The 19,645-nt window shown below is 43.4% G+C and overlaps 2 long non-coding RNA genes across 2 annotated transcripts in view, besides 1 other annotated feature; one reads left to right on the top strand and one right to left on the bottom strand.

Annotated features, from left to right (window-relative positions):
• The window catches only part of LOC102723568 (uncharacterized), a 185,086-nt gene that overhangs the window by 38,761 nt on the left and 126,680 nt on the right, over nt 1-19,645 (bottom strand). The gene's annotated exons all lie outside the window — the stretch shown is intronic.
• LOC105376625 (uncharacterized) lies at nt 13,065-17,145 on the top strand. The gene is made up of 3 exons (XR_931187.3): nt 13,065-13,134; nt 13,752-13,848; nt 14,187-17,145. It is a non-coding gene; the product is annotated as an uncharacterized LOC105376625 (long non-coding RNA).
• Nucleotides 17,672-17,791: a silencer, noted in NCBI's record as "silent region_3252". NCBI's record gives its function as "represses an Ori minimal core promoter by ATAC-STARR-seq in GM12878 lymphoblastoid cells {active_cell/tissue: GM12878}" and the evidence as "EXISTENCE:reporter gene assay evidence [ECO:0000049][PMID:35858748]".

Here is a 19,645-nt window from a genome sequence, read left to right as displayed (position 1 = left end):
GTGGCAAGTTGATACAGTCCCAAGTGTACCAACTGGGACTACTCCCCAACAAACCTGCCTGCAACTCTATGTTTCAGAGTCTGCTTCTATGGACCCAATTTGGAGATTATAAAACATACTCCTAGATAAAAATTCAAACAAGGATGACATTAAAATAAATATAACAAGATCTAATATTTTCTATTTATCTCCCAGTAGTTGTCTTGTACACCCTTAGGTTGTGCCTATCTGCTTTGGGATGATTCCCAAAGATAACTTTGAACATAGGTCACATTAATCCCAGCCCTGAGATGGGAGGTAGAGGTCAAAGAGGAGGACCACACAAAAGAGGAAGAAGAAAAAAGAGCCCTTTCATCCTTCCCACCTAGACAAGTTTAGATTTTCCCAGCATGGGTATCCACAGCCCCACTTCCTTTCCCTTTGAAACATTCATCACTCATTTGATGACTGTCTTTCCAAAAGATCAAAGATCGATGAGGTCAAGACTTACATCCGTCTTGTACATGACTGCAATTAATATCCAACAGTTCCTGGCATAAAATAAGTGCCTCAATAAATATTTGCTGACAGAGGGGTGAGGAAGTTTATCCAGATGTGTTCACCCCTCACTCTCTGCTCCCAGTGGTACACACAGGCTGACCCTTTCCCCACAATTTCAGTTCGGCAGGTCTTAGAGGCTGCCCTGAATCTGGTGGGCCCTCCAAAGAGGCATAGAAGGAGGATTCATTGATTGTTTCAATTGTTTGTTGAGAACCTACTGTGCATCAAGCAACCTGCTCTGCCCTGGGGATCCAGTGCTGATCACAGACACAGACACTCGATCATAGACACAGATACAGGATCAGCAAGAAGTCCCCGATCTTGTGCAGCTTTGAGTGTGGGGGTAGATACTCATCACACAGAGCACAGAAATACAATGGGGGACAAACTAAAATGAGTACCCTAAAGGAAAGAAGGGGTATGCCCTGAAAATGGCATAGTCTGGTGTGCATTTGGGTGGTGATGGTGGTGGTGTTGGGGTGAGGATGGCAGGAGAGTGCCCTCTGAGCCAGCTTCCCCAGGAGAGAAAGTGATCCTTGAGTTTCAGCTGATGATTTGCTTAGCTGGAGCAGGGTTTCTCAATCTCAGCCCTAATTAATGCTTTGGGCTGGATCATTCTTTGAAGGCAGGGGAGGCTGTCATGTGCCTTGTAGAATCTTGAGCAGCAGCCTTGACCTCCACCCACTAGATGCCAGTAGCACCACCCACTAGCCCCAGTTGTGACAGTCAAAATGCCTGCAGACATTGCCAGATGTCCCCTGCAGGGCAGCATCACCCCCAGTGGAGACTCACTGAACTGGGAGAAGAGGCTGGAGAATGGAGAAAGGTGGGAAGGGGAGAGGTATACAAGGAGAAAAGAGAAGCATTGCAAAGGTCATGGGGTCAGCTGAGCTACTGGAGGCTGGAGAGGGCCAGGGTAGGGGCTGGCAGTGCACTCTGAGAGGCAGACAGGGCCAGACCCTGCAGGCTGAGAAAGAAGGAAATGAGTTGTCTGCTCCTTGGTAAAGAAAACAGAAACATTCAGAGAGAGGGTGAGAGCCTACAGGACTATGACAGGATCTCATAACTGTAATCATTGGAATCCAAAAATTAAGAAATAAGCCTCCATAAATCCAGAGCCCTGAGACAATATTAATGGAACTTGGTTAGCACATGTAGCCCATCCAGCCCGCTCCCAGGGCTGACAGGGGATGATAGATGAAACTGAGTGGGGTGCGAGGACATGCCAAAGGTGCTGTTGAATAAATCAGCTGACACTCCCCTGAATTTGCATTGTTAATGGCAGCACCTAAACCCCAGTGTTTCTGCAGAGACTTGTCCCGCTGCTGCCTTCCATCTGAAACGTCCCAAGTGAGTTGGCTAAGGGCAGCAGGGTGTTGAGTGATTAAGTTTGAAACACATTTTATTTTTTGAGACAGGGTCTCATTCTGTCACCCGGGCTGAAGTGCAGTGGTGTGACCACAGCTCACTGCAGCCTTGACCTTTCAGGCTCAAGCAATCCTCCCATCTCAGCCTTCATAGTAGCTGGGACTACAAGTGCGCACCACCTGCCTGGCTGATTTTTAAATTTTCTTTAGAGATGGGGTCTTGTTATGTTGCTAGGGCTGGTCTCAAACTCCTGGGCTCAAGCGATGCTCCTATTTCAACCTCCCAAAGTGCTGGGATTACAAGTGTGAGCCACTGTGCCTGGCCTGAAATACATTTTAGAATCAGCCTGGAGCTGGAAGTTGGGTAAAAGGTGCAAAAGATCTGGCAGGTGTTGTGCAGGCTTGGTGTCCTAATGAGCACCTTACAGGGCCCCTAAGGCAGAATTGTCCTGGAATGGGACAATAGGGTCTCCCAACTGGCCATTGAGTTCCCAGGCATTCCACCATGAATTCTTTGCTAAACGGTGGTGACTTCCAGTAACGAAGTTACCCTCTTTGGATCTTGCTTTGCTCCAAAACATGTTAAAGTAAGTCTTCTCTTTGGCAGGGGGTAGGGAATACTGAATAACGGAATCATCTAGGGAGCTTTTTTATTGTACAACCCAAGTCCCATCCACTGCTAAATTTCTCATATGCTCTTGAAGCACATGGGAAGGGCTGTGTTTTTCAGGATCAATGTTGCTGATTCTTCCTCTTGTCTCAAGTCCAATATAGTTTGAAAGGACACTGTCCCTACATTTGTCTTTATTTAAAATTTTGGTAGTTTTGTCCTCCTGATTTGTTTTGCATTTGTTTTGTTGCTGTTGTTCTTGTTTGACATGGGGTCTCACTCTGTTTCCTAGGCTTCGGCACAGTGGTGCAATCATAGCTTACTGCAGCCTCAAACTCCTGGGCTCAAGTGATCCTCCTGCCTCAGCCTTCCCAGCAGCTGGGACTACAGGTGCATGCCACTGCACTCAGCTAATGTGTTTCTATTTTTTATAGGGACAGGGTCTCACTTTACTGCCCAGGCTGGTGCATTAGTTTTGATCTCATAAAATATTGCATTAAAATATTATTTATCTTGATGACTGAGTTTTTCAGTGCACCTTAAATTATTTTATTTTATTTTAAATTGTTGTAAAATATTTCTAATATAAAATTTGCCATCTTAATCACTTTTAAATGTACAGCTCTTGGGCCAGGCATGGTGGCTCATGCCTGTAATCCCAGTACTTTGGGAAGCCAAGGCGGGTGGATCACGAGGTCAGGAGTTCAAGAACAGCCTGGCCAACATGGTGAAACCCCTTCTCTACTAGAAATACAAAAAATTAGCCTGGTGTGGTGGCAGACGTCTGTAATCCCAGCTACTTGGGAGGCTGAGGCAGGAGAATCGCTTGAACCCAAGAGGCGGAGGTTGCGGTGAGCAGAGATCACGCCATTGCATCCAGCCTGGGTGACAGAGCAAGACTCCGTCTCAAAAAAAAAAAAAAAAAAGAAAAAAACACAAAAGTTCAGCTTTCGGCAGTAAGTACGTCCACACTGTTGTGCACACATCACCACCATCCATCTCTAGAACTCCTTACCTTCCCAAACTGAAAGTCTGTGCCCCTTAAACAATAACTCTCTGCTTCCCCCTCCCCTAAGTCCCTGGAAACCACCATTCTACTTTCTGTCTCTATGAATTTGAAAACTTTAGGTGCCTCATTTAACTGGAATCATACAGTATTTGTCTTTTTGTGATGGGCTTGTTTCACTTAGCATAATATCTTCAAGCTTCATCCATGTTGTAGCATATGTCAGAATTTCCTCTTAAAGGCTGAATAACTTGATAAATAAAATATATATCCATATATGGAATGTATGTATATACATGTATGGTAGGTATGTATGTATGTACATATAAATATATGGAATCATATTCCATATATGTATTTACATTTTATTTATCCATTTCTGTGCTAAGGAACACTTGAGTTGCTTACATCTTCTGATTCCTATGAATGATGCTACCATGAACATTGGTGTAAAAATATCTGAGATCCTACTTTCAATTCTTTTTGGTATATATACAGATATGGAATTGCTAAATTATATGGTTATTCTATTTTTGATTTTTTGAGGAACAGCCATACTGTGTTTCATAGTGTCTGAACCATTGTACCTTCCTATCAACAGTTGTGAAAGAGTTCCAGTTTCTATGCATCTCAAATGCTGTTATTTTCTATTTTGTTTTTTAAAAAATGGTAGCCATCACGGATCACGAGACCAGGAGATCGAGATCATCCTGGCTAACATGGTGAAACCCTGTCTCTACTAAAAATACAAAAAATTAGCCGGCTGTGGTGGCAGATGCCTGTAGCCCCAGCTACTTGGGAGGCTGAGGCAGGAGAATGGTATGAACCCAGGAGGTGGAGCTTGCAATGAGCAGAGTTTGCGCCACTGCACTCCAGCCTGGGCGACAGAGCGAGACTCCGTCTCAAAAAATAAAAAATAGTAGCCATCAGCCAAAATGCCCATCAATGATAGACTGGATAAAGAAAATGTGGTACATATACACCATGAAATACTATGCAGCCATGAAAAGGAGTGAGATCATGTCCTTTGCAGGGATATGGATGGAGCTGGAAGCCATTATCCTCAACAAACTAACACAGGAACAGAAAACAAAACACCACATGTTCTCACTATAAATGGGAGCTGAATAATGAGAACACATGGATACAGGGAGGGGAACAATACACACTGGGGCCTGTCAGGGTGGCAGAGGGGAATGAGAACATCAGGATAAATAGCTAATGCATGCGGGGCTTAATACCCAGGTGATGGGTTGATAGCTGCAGCAAACCACCATGGCACACCTTTCCCTATGTAACAAACCTGCACATCCTGCATATATATACTGCTAAACAGTGGTGACCTCCAGTAAGTAAAAGTTAACCTCTTTGGATCTCAGCTTGCCCCAAAACATGTTAAAGCAAGTCTTTTCTTTGGCAGGGGGTGGGGAATAAAAAAAAACCTTAAAATAAAATAAAATTTAAAAAATATTAGCCATCTTAATAGGTGTCAGAGGTAGTGCCCCCTTACATTTTATAGCCAAGGAGGGGGCAGTCTCACTTGACTCACTGCAGTTCCAGCCCTGCCCCTTAGGTATAAGTCATCACCCAGTTGAGCCTCTGATCCTGACAGACATGTTTTTACATCCCTCACTTGGGCTGATGTAGGAAAAAATACTGTGCCTTTGGATTACAAGTTTGGCTCTACCACTTACTAGCTGTGTGAGTCTGGGCCAAATATTTAACCTGCTTGTGTTTAAGTTTCCTTACACACAAATGGAGAATAACTGTATTTACATGATAAAATTGTTGTGTGGAGTAAATGGATTAATATATATAAAGCTCTTAGAAATAGTAAGCACCACATCTGTTTAAGTGGTAGCTGCTATTATCATAGATCTCACCTGCTATGTAGTTGTTTTTATTTTTTTAAGTAAATATATTATTTTGGAATAATTTTGATTTATTAAAAGTTGCAAAAATAGTATAATAAGTTCCCATATACCCTTAACTCAACTTCATCTAATATTAGTATCTTATACAAGTGTGGTACATTTGTCAAAACTAAGAAATAAACATTGGAACAGTTACTATTATCTAAACTACAGGCTTTATTCACATTTCATTGGTTGTTTCACTATTGTTATTTTTCTGTTCCAGGATCCAAACCACATTGCACATAGGGTGTAGCTTTCTTGCTTGCTTTTCTTTCTGTTTGTGTTTGCTATTTTCCTGAAGAGTGGTTTTGGAAGCTGGACTTTGAAGGCCCTCAGATGTGGCATGGTTCTCTATTCTGCCACAATCTTTTGCCATCCCCTGTTGCCATGAGCCTGTTTCACATGCCTGCAGTTACCTGCCTGCCCCTGGAGACCTGTGAATCTGTAATCCCTGGATTAGCTGATGGCTCAATGCTTTCCCTCTGAGAGACTGTAATTTGATGATTCTGAGTCTCCAAAAATCCTTTATTAAAATTCAGACACTCTCAGGTAGCTAGTCCATGTAAACAAATCCACAGCTACATATCTTAGTAGCAAACTGTTGATGGTGAAGAAGGTCTCACAGGAATAGCTGGTGAAGAAGTGCTTGGAGGTGAGAAGTTAACAGGGGGATGGAGAGGTGCCTGCTAAGGAAGGCTGCCAGGCATTGATGCTAGACTTATCTATCTCACATTTTGGAGTGGGCCCTGCTTGAGATAGGCCTTGATTCATGCCGCTCAGCTCTGTGACCCCATACCCAAAAGTGCTCCCTGGTTCCATGGGTCTGTGAGCCCAGTGGAGCCTACCATGCTGTTGGTCATGGACCATTCCCAGCCACTGCCTCCCCACTTCCTGGAACATGGGAAACTCGAATTTTTGGTGGTGGACGGGAAAAAAAGACTAGAAAAAAACCCAGCCCTACACAATTTATTAAGGATTTTCTCTCTGTCCAGGACAATGCAAAGTGCTAATCAGGGATTTGGAGGTGAAGACCTGACATCTAAGTGACAGCAGCAGGGGTCTTTTCAATCTTGTGTTTGACTTAGATCAATAGGCTATGAGCCGTCGAAGTTTATTTTCTTCTCCATATCTTTACATATCTGGGTTTGTACATCTAGAACTACATGTCAGAGTGGCTTCTCTTATATCTGAATATGTGAAGAAGTCCACTATTGACCAATAGTATGAATTATGAGAAAAAGATGAGACGGCTGATTTTTAAAAAGTAATTGTAAATGTTCCCCTAACTTAGATTCTTGCTATTGCTTGTGGGTGAAACTTACAAGCTGCCTCCAATGTGAGCCACATAATTTCTCCCTGCCCTCACCCTAGTTCCTTTCTTGGTGCGATAGCAGTTAGGTAACAGAATGGGTCACAGAGACCTCATTTTGAGTACCGACTCCACCGCTAACTGGCAGTGTCACCTGGGGCAAGTTACCCAGCCTCTTGGTGCCTCACCTTCACCAGCAAAATGGGGATAATTGTCGCACCTGCCTCCTGGGGTTCTTGTGAGGTTAAATAAAAGGCAGATGAGGCAAAGCATACCAAGAGCTAAGTGCAATACCTGGCGTGTAATGAGTTCCCCACAAGTTTGGCTCTTGTTATTTAGAATATCAAGGGAAAGGCAGCATAATCATTTCCTAAATAGCAGCCAACATAAAAGCAAGGGAAAGAGAACAAGTGAGAATGAAGAGGAGCGTTCTTGTGGAGTGGGGGACATCTATGTGGGCTCGGCAGCTTCCACACAGAACACCTTGCTACTTCTGACAAGAACCGTGTGACTGTCTCCATCTGCCCAATGAGGAAAGTTAAACTCAGAGAGCCCAAATGACGCACCAGCAACCACACAGCGAAGATGCAAGCTGGCCTTGAAATACCGGAGTGGCATAGTTAGGGAGCACTAATGCTGGTGTCAAGAAACCTGGAATCCATCCCTGCATGCCTGCCACCTTGGACCAGCTATGTGACATGAGAGACATCTGTTAAGTTCTGTGTCTCGGTTGCCTCATGTGTGACTGTACCCAGTTTGTGGTACTTTGTTATGGCAGGCCTAGGGAATGAATATCACACATGGGGATAATAATAGTACCCCACAGGGTTATTGCGAAGATGAAATGAGTGCGTGTGAGTGTGTGTGTTGTGTGTGACGCACGGTAGTTACCAGTAGTCTTTATAAACGTGTGAGAAAAAAAAAATACTTGGGAAATTCAGACCCTCTGAGTCTAATCTACTCTTTGAATACAGAACTAAAAGAAACACCCATCTTTTACCCCTTTTACAGAGGAGAAAACTAAGCCTGAGAAAATAGAAGGTTTTTTGTTTCAGTTTAGGAACTAAATTAGGGGGAGGAGTTGTGTATGTGTGTGTGTGTGTGTGTGTGTGTGTGTGTGTGTGTGTGTGTGTGTGTGTGTGTGTGTTTTAAGCACCTGAAATAAAAACACAAAGAGACAGAACAGCAAGGCCAGATGGGATAGAAGCTAGATGGAGAATCCACAAACATGCGGAGGATGAGAAGGTTAACAAAACAGTGATGTCATTTCTGACAGATAACCGGAAAGAATGGAGGTGGTGCTGTCAAGCATCTCGGAGGCCTCCGGGCAGCGCGCCCAGTGCCAACAGCAGCCTGGCCTAGCATGCAGCCATGTGTCTCCACGGGCCTTCAAACCCAGCTCAGACACTTCTGGGGACATTCCGATCCAGCCTCTTGAGGGAGATAAGCTGTGTGCCCCTTTCTTTCCAACTGACTCCCCATTCAGTTCCCAGTCTCAGCCACCCCACCCCTGTGCAGACTGGCCAAGAAGGGGCTGTCTACAATGAGAATGTCTTTCCTGAAAGCGGAGGGCTGGCTTCAGATATGCTGTCACAAACCTTGGTCTTTCTTTCTGCTTCCATTGCTGGCCAGGTGGTTCTGTTTGGCCTGAGCTGGTACATAGTAAGTAACCCTGGGGAATGGCTCCATGTCAGACGCTGGCAGGAAAAGACAGAGGGGAATGCACAGGCAGGAGAAGCTTCCAGGGATGGGGAGACGGGGGGCCCCAACGGTTGTTGTCTTTGGCCCCTTCCAATGCTTTTCCTGCCTTGTGAAGACGTCTATGTCTAACCCACATGTAGTACACCCCCCAGCTTCTGCCTTACATTCCCCTCCCGTGAAGATATGAGGTCACCTGCTGGGCTCTTTCCTGTGTATCTGAGTATAGCTGGCAGGTCATTTGATATCTTGTCTCCCTCTCCTGCAGGTGACCTCTGAATGGCCTCAGGTTGGGGGCTGAGACTACAGAGGCTTGTGGGCAGAGTGTGCAGCTTCTACCTGCAGTGGGTGGAGAGCAGCTCCAGCTCACCTTTGCAGGTCCCGAACCAGATTTTCCCAGCTGGTCCTCACTTTGTGTTACTTCCTGCCTCTCAGGAAAGACAATTCATGAAATCTTTATGCTTTGGTGGAATGTTGGTTGCAGAGACATTCATAGAGCAGCAAAATAGCCTTTTTTGGATGAAACTGTGACCTACTTCAGGGTTCTGGAAAACAATCTCTTGCCTTCATGAATGCTGAGAACATACAGTATAGACAGGGAAGTGCAGTAGATCAGAATGAATAATAATCTTTTGAGGAAAAATTTGGGAGATCTGCCTTATTTTTTATTTTAAAAAATCAAGTTATGTTACAAGTGGCAAAATTCACCCTAAATTCAGACTAAAAAGTGTAGTTTTATGACTTTTCACAAATACACACATACATGGGACCATCATCACAATTAAGATAGAGTAGTATGGTTCCAGCTCCAAAACGTTCTCTTGTGCTCCTGTCATGGGGAGAATTATGTCCCCCAAAACTCCTATGTTGAAGTCCTAACCCTCACTACCTCAGAATGTCTCCTTTTTTGGAAATAGGGTCTTTATAGAGGTAATAATCAAGTTAAAATGAGGTCATTAAGGTAAGCCCTAACCCAAAATGACTGATGCTCTTATAAAAAGGGACATTTGGACACAGACACATACAAGGGGAACACGATGTGAACATGGAGGCAGCCATCTTCATGGCTGGAGAGAAGAAGAGACACCAAGGAGAGGAGCCTGGACAGATCCTCCCCTTGCAGCTCTCAGAAGGAGACAACTCTGCCAACATCTTGACTTTAGACTTCCAGGCTTCAGGACTCTGAGACAATACATTTCTGTTGAAGTCACACAGTTTGCGGTATTTTGTGATGGCGGTCCTAGGAAATGGATACAATACCTTTATAGTCAATCACCTCCCCTGGACCCTGCCCCTGGCAGCCACTGATCAGATTTTTGCCCCTATAGTTTTACTTTTCCCAGAATGTTATATAAATGGAATCACACACATACTGTATGCGGCCTTTTGAATCTAGCTTCCTTCATTCAGCACAGAGCTTTTGAGATTGATCCATTTTTTTTCTTTTTCATTCCTTTTTAAAATTGCTAAATAGTATTCCATTGTATGGATGCACAGTTTATCTACCCACGAGTTGAAGGATACTTGTATTATTCCAGGGTTTGGTTGCTGTGACTAAAGCATCTATAGATGTTCACATATCAACTTTTTTGTGCGCGAATGTAGGTTTTCATTTCTCTTGCATAAATGTTTAGGGGATTTCCTGGGTCGTATGATAAGCAGGTTTAAATTTGTAAGAAACTACCAAATCATTTCCAAGTGGTTGTTCCATTTTTGCATTCCCATCAACAGTGTATGAAAATTTAAGTGCTTCACATCCTCATTGTACTTCATATTATCTGCTTTTTGGTTTTGCCAACCTGCTAGGTATACACAGGTATTTCATTTTGTTTTTAATTTGCATTTTCTTAATAACTAAAGATGTCGAACATCTTTTCATGTGGTTATTTGGCATCCATGTAACTTCTCTTGTGAGGTATCGATTTAAACCTTTTCCTTATTTCTAATTGTGTTGTTTGTTTTCTTATTATTCAGTTTAGACAGGATAAACATCCTTTATCAAATGTGTATTTGGTAAATACTTTCTACCAATTGGTGTCTTATCTTTTTATTTTCCCAACAGTATTTTTTGAAAAGCAGATGTTTTAAATGTTTATGTAGTCATTTATTGATTTCTTTTCTTTGATGGATAATGCTTTTGTTGCCATATTTTTAAAAATCTTTGCTTAACCCAAGGTGACAAAGATTTTCAGAACATTTGCTTTTCATCCTGACTCAGTGGCTGATTCTGCTGCTAGACAAGTAATTTATCCTTTCTCAGCCTTAGTTTACCCCTCTGTGAAATGTGAAGATTGAAGTATATCAGTGTTTTTCAAACTTTTTGAAACCAAGGGAACCTACTTTTAACTGAGATCATACATATACCCCAGGATATAAAACAAACATAAGTGTACCTGGGGCCCTGACCTCCTGCAGTCTCTTGAACTGCGGTTCCCTACCTTTCATATTACATAAATCACCTGAAGACCTTGTGAAGGTTTGATTCATAGGTCTGGGATAGGCTGGGGTTCTGCAGTTTTAACAAATTATCAAGTTCTAGGTGATGCCTACCGCTGGTCAAGGGACCTCACTTTGAGTGGCAAAGCCCCAGAGTACTTTCTAAGCCACAGGGGGACGTCTGCTTTTGTCGACATAAGACTTGGGAGTTTTACAATGTGTTTCTTCCAAGAAGAGCAAAGTTCTTCCATATCAGTAATTCTCTTTTCCTCCCTATTGTCTATCCTACTATTATCCAAGTCACTGAGAGGTACACTGAGCCCAGGTTTGAGCCAAGATCACTGGAACCTGGCAGAATCAGGTAGAGAAGAATACTACCAGCAGCTGGGGACTAGCACCACTGTGAACTGTGTGGTAACGTCATTGTAACATTAAGAACTTCTGTTGCATCAGAAACAAGGGAAAGGGCAAAGGAAGTTTTTGGCTGTAACTAGAAAGTTTGAGTTCATGTTAATGTCAGGTATAGTCAGCTCTAGGTGTTCAGATGATATCATTAGAAACATGGCTCTCTGAAAGTTTTAGTTCATGCTTCTCTGAATTGGTTTCACTTCCAGGCAGGCTCTTGACATGCCAGGGTAAAGAGTCCATTCACTGGTCTAAGCCTGCATTCCATCAGCTTTGCACCATCAACAGAAAGCTCTTTTTTTTCCCCCAATAGTTTCTACAAAATCCCTACATTTGAGTTTCATTGACTTAGGTCAGGCTGCATGGCTATGCATTTAACAATGACTTCAGCCAGTGGGACTGTGGCATGTAGTGATTTGATGGTCTAGGCCTAGATGATGCCTGGACCCTGGGGTGAAGTTAGCTTCACCTGAACCGCATGCACTTAAAGTATGGAAGAAAAATTTCCCGAAAGAAAGGGGAATGCTCTTTGCTTAGTGGGCAAACAACAGAGTCCACTACAGCCATTATGATTTTATGTGTATGAAAGGCTATGTCTTTGTTGTTATTCTTATTTATTTATTTATGTGTTAAGAGGAAAGGGGAAACAAGATATAACTCAGGTGACCAGGAAACACCCTCCTTGTGCCTTTGATGTCACAATTCTTTCTTAGCACTCAAGTTATTTTCCTTCTCCCATTTTCAGTGCAGCTCTCTCACCTCCAACACTCAAGATTTTCATGCCACCTTTCCCAATCAGATAAATGTATTTGCATTTCAATGCTGGAGACGTATATTACCACCCATCCCAGGATTTTTTGGACTTTAAGTGAGAACTGCAACAGAGAACAATGCTTGACACAAAGCAATTGTGAAACTAAAGATGGAATTTCCAGTATTAGGGTTTTCTGTTTTGTTTTGTTTGGAGAAGAGGGTCTCTGTGGTTCTGCCAAATCATGCAACTGGTTTCACTGACCCAGGAACATGACCAAGGTCATAGGCTTCTGGCCCTAGAGCAATCCCCTCTGGCTGAAGGTGGCAATAAAAGCAGGTGGAGTCACAGCTGGGCTAATTAAAGGCAATGTCAAGACTGTCTCAGGAAGAACCTCTAAATAGAAGTGTGGGTGGCAAACCTTGCTTAATTATCAACGTGAAAAGCCTGTAAATTGAGACCTCAGGAGGGGAACATTCTTGCTTTGTTTCTGGCAGATAGAAAAGGCTGGCTGGGGCCTGATAGCCATCAACTTCAGTCATTCAGGTGGTTAGGAACACCCCCCAACTGTAGGCCTGTAGGCAGGCCTACACAACGCCCCAGCAGGAGTAGGATGTCTCTGGCTACAAAAGAACCAGTTCTGGCCTGAGATAAGCAAGTTTCTTGTGGGATCTAGTTGATGTTCTGTAATGTCAGTTTAGGCTGATAGGGTATTTTATTGAATGACACAAATTCCAGCTTCAGTAACAGTACCTCAGTGTCAATGTGAATGTAAATAGATTGTCTTATAAAGTGAGAAAATATGTGCACAGTGTCACCCCTCCGGTGAACCTCTGCCCTCCTGAGCATATGAGCTATGAGACCACACTTGGCACCTGTAGGCACCTCTCACTCCTTTACCCAGCACACACAATGACCTCCTTTATATGCCGCCTGCCAGGCTGCATGGGAAGGGCCCTTGGTGTGCGCATTTTGACTACAGTAATACTGTACGTGGTAATCATTAACCTGAAATGGCATTTGCGATGATGAGATGGTGCTGTGTGCTGCTCTCCTTCATCTCTCCAGCAAACACAATGTACTGACTCTAAAACAGGTACGACCAGTTGCTGCCAGGCCCTCAAAGACACAGTGTTCTACTGTGGAATTAGCCATACATAATGGGCCCATTGAATCAGGCAGCAGGCACTTTCCTCTCTGGGCTGCACAGATAGAGGAGTTGGGCCTAGACCCCAGGGACTGGTGGGTAGGTTTGGGTTTCTAAATGGGCTTTGTTCACTCACTGGAAGAGAAAACTCCAAAGCTGAGCACAAAACCCAGGGAACTGAGCTTAAAGCTTCCAACGGATTCCCTCAGTGGGAGTCAGGGGCTGAGTAATACCTTTGGTGACTTCATAAATAAAACAAGGTTTCTCACCTGAGGGCCTTTCTGCATAATGGCTTTGTTAGGTAGGGACAGGTCAGGCTTTAAGAGTAGCCGGGGTTGTGGTGAGGGAAAAGGCACAGAGGAATTAGGTAGTTTACTCAAAAGCACACAGCTAGCGTACCTTGGGACTGGAAGCAAGACAGTTCTCCTGATTCTTGTATTTTGGCCTCTTTGGAGGCCCAAGGAGGAATTACCTTTGCTTGGGAAGTTCAGTTCCAAGCAAGGTTCCTTCCTTACACTAGGAGTCTAGGCATTGTTGTTCCTTCCTTGTGTGTTCCTTCCTAATAGTTACTTGGATGGAGGAGGAGAAGCAGTGGCTATGGCAAACTTGGAATAGGAGAAGGTGGGTCCTAGTCTGGGCCCAGCGACCTCTAACTCTGTGATGGTAGGTAGAATCTTTCAAGTCTTTGAACCTTGGTTTCCTTATCTCCCTGAAGAGAAAGCCAGAACAGGTGATCTCCAGGGTCAGCCACAGGATTCACGTTCCGTAGATAGCATTCCACCAAGAGCAGGAGATCTCTGACCAGAAGCTGCTGAGAAAGCTTCATGGGAAGGGTGGGGTGGGGGTGAAGAGGCCAAAAAGGAAAAGGAAGCACTTGAAAAGCACCCCACTAATATGGGGCTTTTACCTTCTTCCCAGTGACTTATGAGAGCCCTCCTGAAAATGGTTAAGTGCTAATGAGGATCTTGGAGTTTGTTTTATTTAACTCTTTTCTTTTCCAGACCCTGGATTTTCAGACCCAAGTGACTTGCCCATGGCCACAGAAGAACTGGTGGCAGATCTGCTTCCTATCTGTAGCTCTTTCCACTGCTCACATGGCCACTTGTGTTCAGCAGCTGGTGACTAGACCAGCTCTCAGTTGGCAGCAGCATAGCAAATACAGACTCCTGTGGACATCTAGTAATGCTGTGATATGGATGATTGAGCCCACTCTGTGCTATGCACATTACCTACATCAGCTCAGTAATTTTAAAATTCAAAGCCTATGACAGGTGTGTTTTCCTAGGTTCAATATAAATATGTGGGAAGTAGAGCTGAGAGGGTGATTTGCCTGAAGTCACAGGTTTAAAATTTGACAAGACATCCAGGACTAGCATCAAAGACCCTTAAGTTCAAGTCATTCATCAAGGGGGACTGCCTTTGGTTTCTGCTCTTGGCTCAAACTAACTGAGATATTAGTACTTCTACAGCCTCCCCATCTACCTGCCTCCAGATATAGCCGAACCCAAGGTGCAGAATCTATTCACCTAACCATTGCACCATACTGCCCTGCTAGGGAGGAGTATGTTGGGCCATGGACTCTGACTCAGAATTATGGAAATATTCCATAAAGATAGTTTTTTAATAATCTCAGCATTCCTGATTAGAAAACCAGTTGGCCAACAGGGCACCCTTCTAGGGAGCCGTGGCTGTCCTTGGTACACTGGGAAAGGGTCCTGGAGACAAAGCCCAGTTCTCCTCTATGCCCTCCAGCTTCTGAGAAAGGGTTTCTTCTCCTTCTGCAGTGTTTATAGGCAGGCTATACACTGGATCTGGCCAGTGGGTGACCTCCCTCACAGTGAGAGTTTGTCTAGAAGCCTCCAAAGAGGGAAAAAAAAGAAACCTTTGTAATCACTCTCGGGCTCCAGCTGCTAAAGCAGACAAGAAAGCAGCCCCAAGATCCTGGAAACTCTTGCCCAAAGGAGATCCTGTTTCAGTGTCTTTGTGTGAAAGTTGGTGTTGAGGGGACGGGGGAAGATGGAAATGCTGGAGTGATTAGTGCTTGGCAATTCTTATGTAGGGGCAATTGTCACCTACAAAATGGCCAGAGCAACTTCAAGCACTGTTTGCTCTCTTGTATGGAAGAGACTAATTCCTGAGATAACCTTCAGAATTGATAACTGGGGAGTTTGTCTGTTTTCCAAATGGATAGGCCAAATCCGGCCCTAGGAGACTTAGTAACTGGCATTCTGTCCCAGAACCCTGGGGTGGAGGCAGAGAAAGAAGCCAACTTGCCTGATGTGTTGCCAAGTGCCTCCCTCACTCTGGGTATCATGACATCAGGTCATCTAATGTGCCTCCTGTGACATTCGATTCTAGGAAAAAATGCCTGGCTTTGTCAAAGAGAACTAGCTGACCTCAGGAGAGAATGTACCCAGAATCACGTGGCCCCTTGGGGCAGACCTGAGGTAGAGTCCCTTCAGTTTCACAAGCAACTGACTCTAACTTAAAGTCACTGGTGCTTGTGGATCCAAAGCTCATGAAACATGGTCTATGAGGTTTTTGATTTGTCTTATACTGATTGTGCCCTCACCAAGTGCCACTGCTAAAATGCCTCTTTTTCAGGGAAGCCTTCCCATAACCCCCGTCAAGATGAGGTCCCCTGTGATTTTATTCCTGGGGTTCTCCCTGGCAGTCCTAATCCCAATAATAATTTAAATAATTATTTGCCCAATTATTTGTTTAATATCAGTCACCTCTCCCAAGCTGTCAGCTGTACAGAGGAGGTTTAGTGTCTGGCTGATTCATCAGGACCTAGTATAGTCCTTAGTAGCCATTTAAGAAACATTTGTGGAATAAAGAAGGAGGGGACATAGAGACTATTATATTTACCAAAGGATGAGAAAATGTTGGAACTAGAATTTCCAGGAGTGATAAACTAACTTGTCCAAGGTTACATGGCTGGGTAAGAAGACATCTAGGACTAGCATGTAAGAGCCTCAGGGTCAAGTCATTCATCAAGGGAATTACTTTTAGTTTCTGCTCTTGGCTCAAACTATATGAGATATTAGTTCATCTGCAGAATCTCCCCATCCCTCTGCCTCTAGATATAGTTGGAATCAATTCACTTTTCTGCATTCGCATTTCCATAAACCACTATCATCTCTTGGCTGGAATTCAAGAGTTTCCTAGGTTTTTCAAATGCTTCCCTGTCCCTCCTTTACCGTCTTCTAGACAAAAAGATTGGGGTGAGCTTTTAAAAACATGCAGCATATTGTACCATTCCCCATCTTATAGCCCACCAGTGGTGTCCGTAATGTAATCACAGTCACTCCTTACAAAGGCCACAAGCTTTATATCATCTGAACCTTGTGTCCTTCTCCAAATTTCTCTACACTCTTGCATTCACTAGCTACACTCCACCCATGCTGACCTTTTTTTCTTCTGTTGCTCAAACATTTTAAGTTTGCAGTTTCTTTTGGCTGGAACACTTTCTGGCAAATCTGCACATCTTTTTCACACAATGTCACCTCCTCTGACCATCCTGTATAAAGTAGCTCTCCTGTGCCGCCACACTACTCTCTGTTACATTTTTCCATTTTGGTGACTCCAAAGCATATATCACTCTCTGAAATCATCTTCTTTACTTGTTTTCTTGTATATTATCTGTCAAATCATACCCTAATGTGACTGCCAAGAATTTGGGGACTTTGTCTTGTACACTATTGTGTGTCCAGCACCTAAACCAGCACTGCATATGTATTTATGGAATTGGTTGTGCAAATTAGTGTGTAATCACATCTATATAATTGGAGATGCTACAATTGATTTTTTTCCTGAAGGTGATGACAAAAAGCGAATGCATATAAAACCCTAGAATATATGCTTGGACAGGGAGGGCACTTGGGTAGGTCAGCTGTTCCCCAGATTGGTCAGCATCAGAATCACCAGGAGAGTTGGTTAAAAAAAAAAAAAAAAAAATAGAGCTTCCTGGGAACCTCTCAGCACCTACTGGATCAGAACATCCAGGGCTGGGTCATGAAGTTGCTGCCTATCGACAGAGAGTGGGCCAGTTTGGAAAGTCACTAAGTGATAGGATCTGACGCCAAGTACATGTTCCTGCCTTTGAATCTGTATCTGCACTTCTGGGAAATAATCTTAACCACAGAAAAGACTTTGTGTACAAAGATATTTATCTCACTTTGTTTATAGAAGTAAAAATTAAAAAACAAATGCCCCCAAACAGGAGAAGTGATTAAGGAAACCATGCACGATATGATATCATGGTTTGATGGATATTAAAATGAATGCCTATGGGGAGGCTGAGGCAGGAGAATGGCGTGAACCCGGGAGGCGGAGCTTGCAGTGAGCCAAGATCGCGCCACTGCACTCCAGCCTGGGCGACAGAGCGAGACTCCGTCTCAAAAAAAAAAAAAAAAAAAAAAAAGAATGCCTATGAATATGTTTCTGCATGGAAAAGTAGAGTTTCTGACTTTATGCTAGAATGTAGAATGGTTTGTGGGTTATAATCATGGTTAAATGCACAAATTCTGGGAGCTGACTACAAGGATTGAAATTCTAGCTCTGACTAAGTATGTGACCTTAGGCAAGCCACTAAACCTCTCTGCACTTCTGTTTTCTCACCTTGAAAATGGGGATAATTATAGCATCTGGCCGAAAGTGGTATTGTAAGGATTAAGTGAGTTAATGTATGTGACATATGAGGCCCTCTAGAAACATTAGGTGTTATTATTATATATGTGGGAGAGGAGGCTAGAAAGAGTTATATTAAAAGGCTTAGCAATAATACTAATCTTGTTGGATAGGAGTAATTTTTCTTTTCTTTTCTCCAGTCTTCAAGAGGTGGTTCTATTATCTCCATAATATGTTAAGTATAATGACAATCAAGTCTCCAGCATTGGGATGGGGAGTGGGGACAGAAGAAGACAAATGCACAAAGACTCTTTGCACATATAAAATTTCATATTAAAATATAAAATATGAAGTTAATAAAGATTATAGCAACTACTTTTACAGCACCTATTTGCCTAAGTTGATCCAGCCACTAAGTAGCCAGGCTGCATTTACAACCTAGAACAGTCTGATTCTAGACCATATGCTCCTTGCTCTGAACCACATTATTTATCCAAAAAAGTGAATTTACATCTTCTCTTCTCTTTCCTTACCGGTCAATACAATTGAGGGGCTTTTAGCTATTCATGTATTCATTTACTCACTGAATGCCTACTTGCAGTGTAACAGCTCTGCCCTGGCACGCTGCAACTTCATACATAGCCACATATGCCACACAGCCAGACAGTTAAACTTCAGCTTATCTGAGTCTTGGGAAAACGTCTGTGATCCTCTTGGAACCCCAGAGTATGTGAGGCTTATGAAGAGCTGCTCTGAGGTCATCTGCCTTCTACCTTTCTATCTTCCCAGGGAGACTATCTCAAAACCCATCTCATCACTTCCTGGGTACTGATGACGTATGGGGCTTTCTGCCACATTCTTCTCAAAATAGAGCTGTGGAATATAAAACTACTTAGCTGCGGTCTAAAACCACATAGCTCCTTGATATAGTTTGGCTCTGTGTCCCCACCCAAATCACATCTTGTAGCTCCCATAATTCCCACATGTTGTGGGAGGAACCCAGTGGGAGATAATTGTATTATGGGAGTGTGTCTTCCCCATGCTGTTCTAATGATAGTGAATAAGTCTTATGAGATCTGATGGTTTTAAAAATGGGAGTTTCCCTGCACAAGCTCAGTGCTCTCTCTCTTTGCTTGCTGCCATCCATGTAAGACGTGACTTGCTCCTCCTTGCCTTCCAACATGATTGTGAGGCTTTTCCAGCCATGTGAAATGGAAGTCCACTAAACGTCTTTCTTTTGTAAATTGCCCAGTCTGGGGTATGTCTTTACCAGCAGTGTGAAAACAGGACTAATACAGTAAATTGGTACCAAGAGTAGGGTACTGCTGAAAAGATACCCAAAAATGTGGAAGTGACTTTGGAACTGAGTAACAGGCAGAGGTTGGAACAGTTTGGAGGGCTCAGAAGAAGACAGGAAAATGTGGGAAAGTTTGGAACATCCTAGAGACTTGCTAAATGGCTTAGCCCAAAATGCTGATAGTGATATGGACAATAAATTCCAGGCTGAGGTGGTCTCAGATGGAAATGAGGAACTTCTTGGGAACTGGAGCAAAGGTGACCCTTGTTATGTTTTAGCAAAGAGACTGGAGGCATTTTGCCCCTGCCCTACAGATGTACAGAACATTGAACTCGAGAGAGATGATTTAGGGTATCTGGCAGAAGAAATTTCTAAGCAGCAAAGCATTCAAGAGGTGACTTGGGTGCAGTTAAAGGCATTCAGCTTCAAAAGGGAAGCAGAGCATAAAAGTTCAGAAAATTTGCAGCCTGACAAAGCTATAGAAAAGAAAATCATTTTCTGAGGAGAACCTCAAGCTGGCTGCAGAAATTT

Source organism: Homo sapiens, chromosome 11, assembly GCF_000001405.40.
Source record: "Homo sapiens chromosome 11, GRCh38.p14 Primary Assembly".
Lineage (NCBI taxonomy): Eukaryota > Metazoa > Chordata > Mammalia > Primates > Hominidae > Homo > Homo sapiens.
Note: the sequence above shows the minus strand (reverse complement) of the source record. Positions and strands in the feature narration are given on the sequence as shown.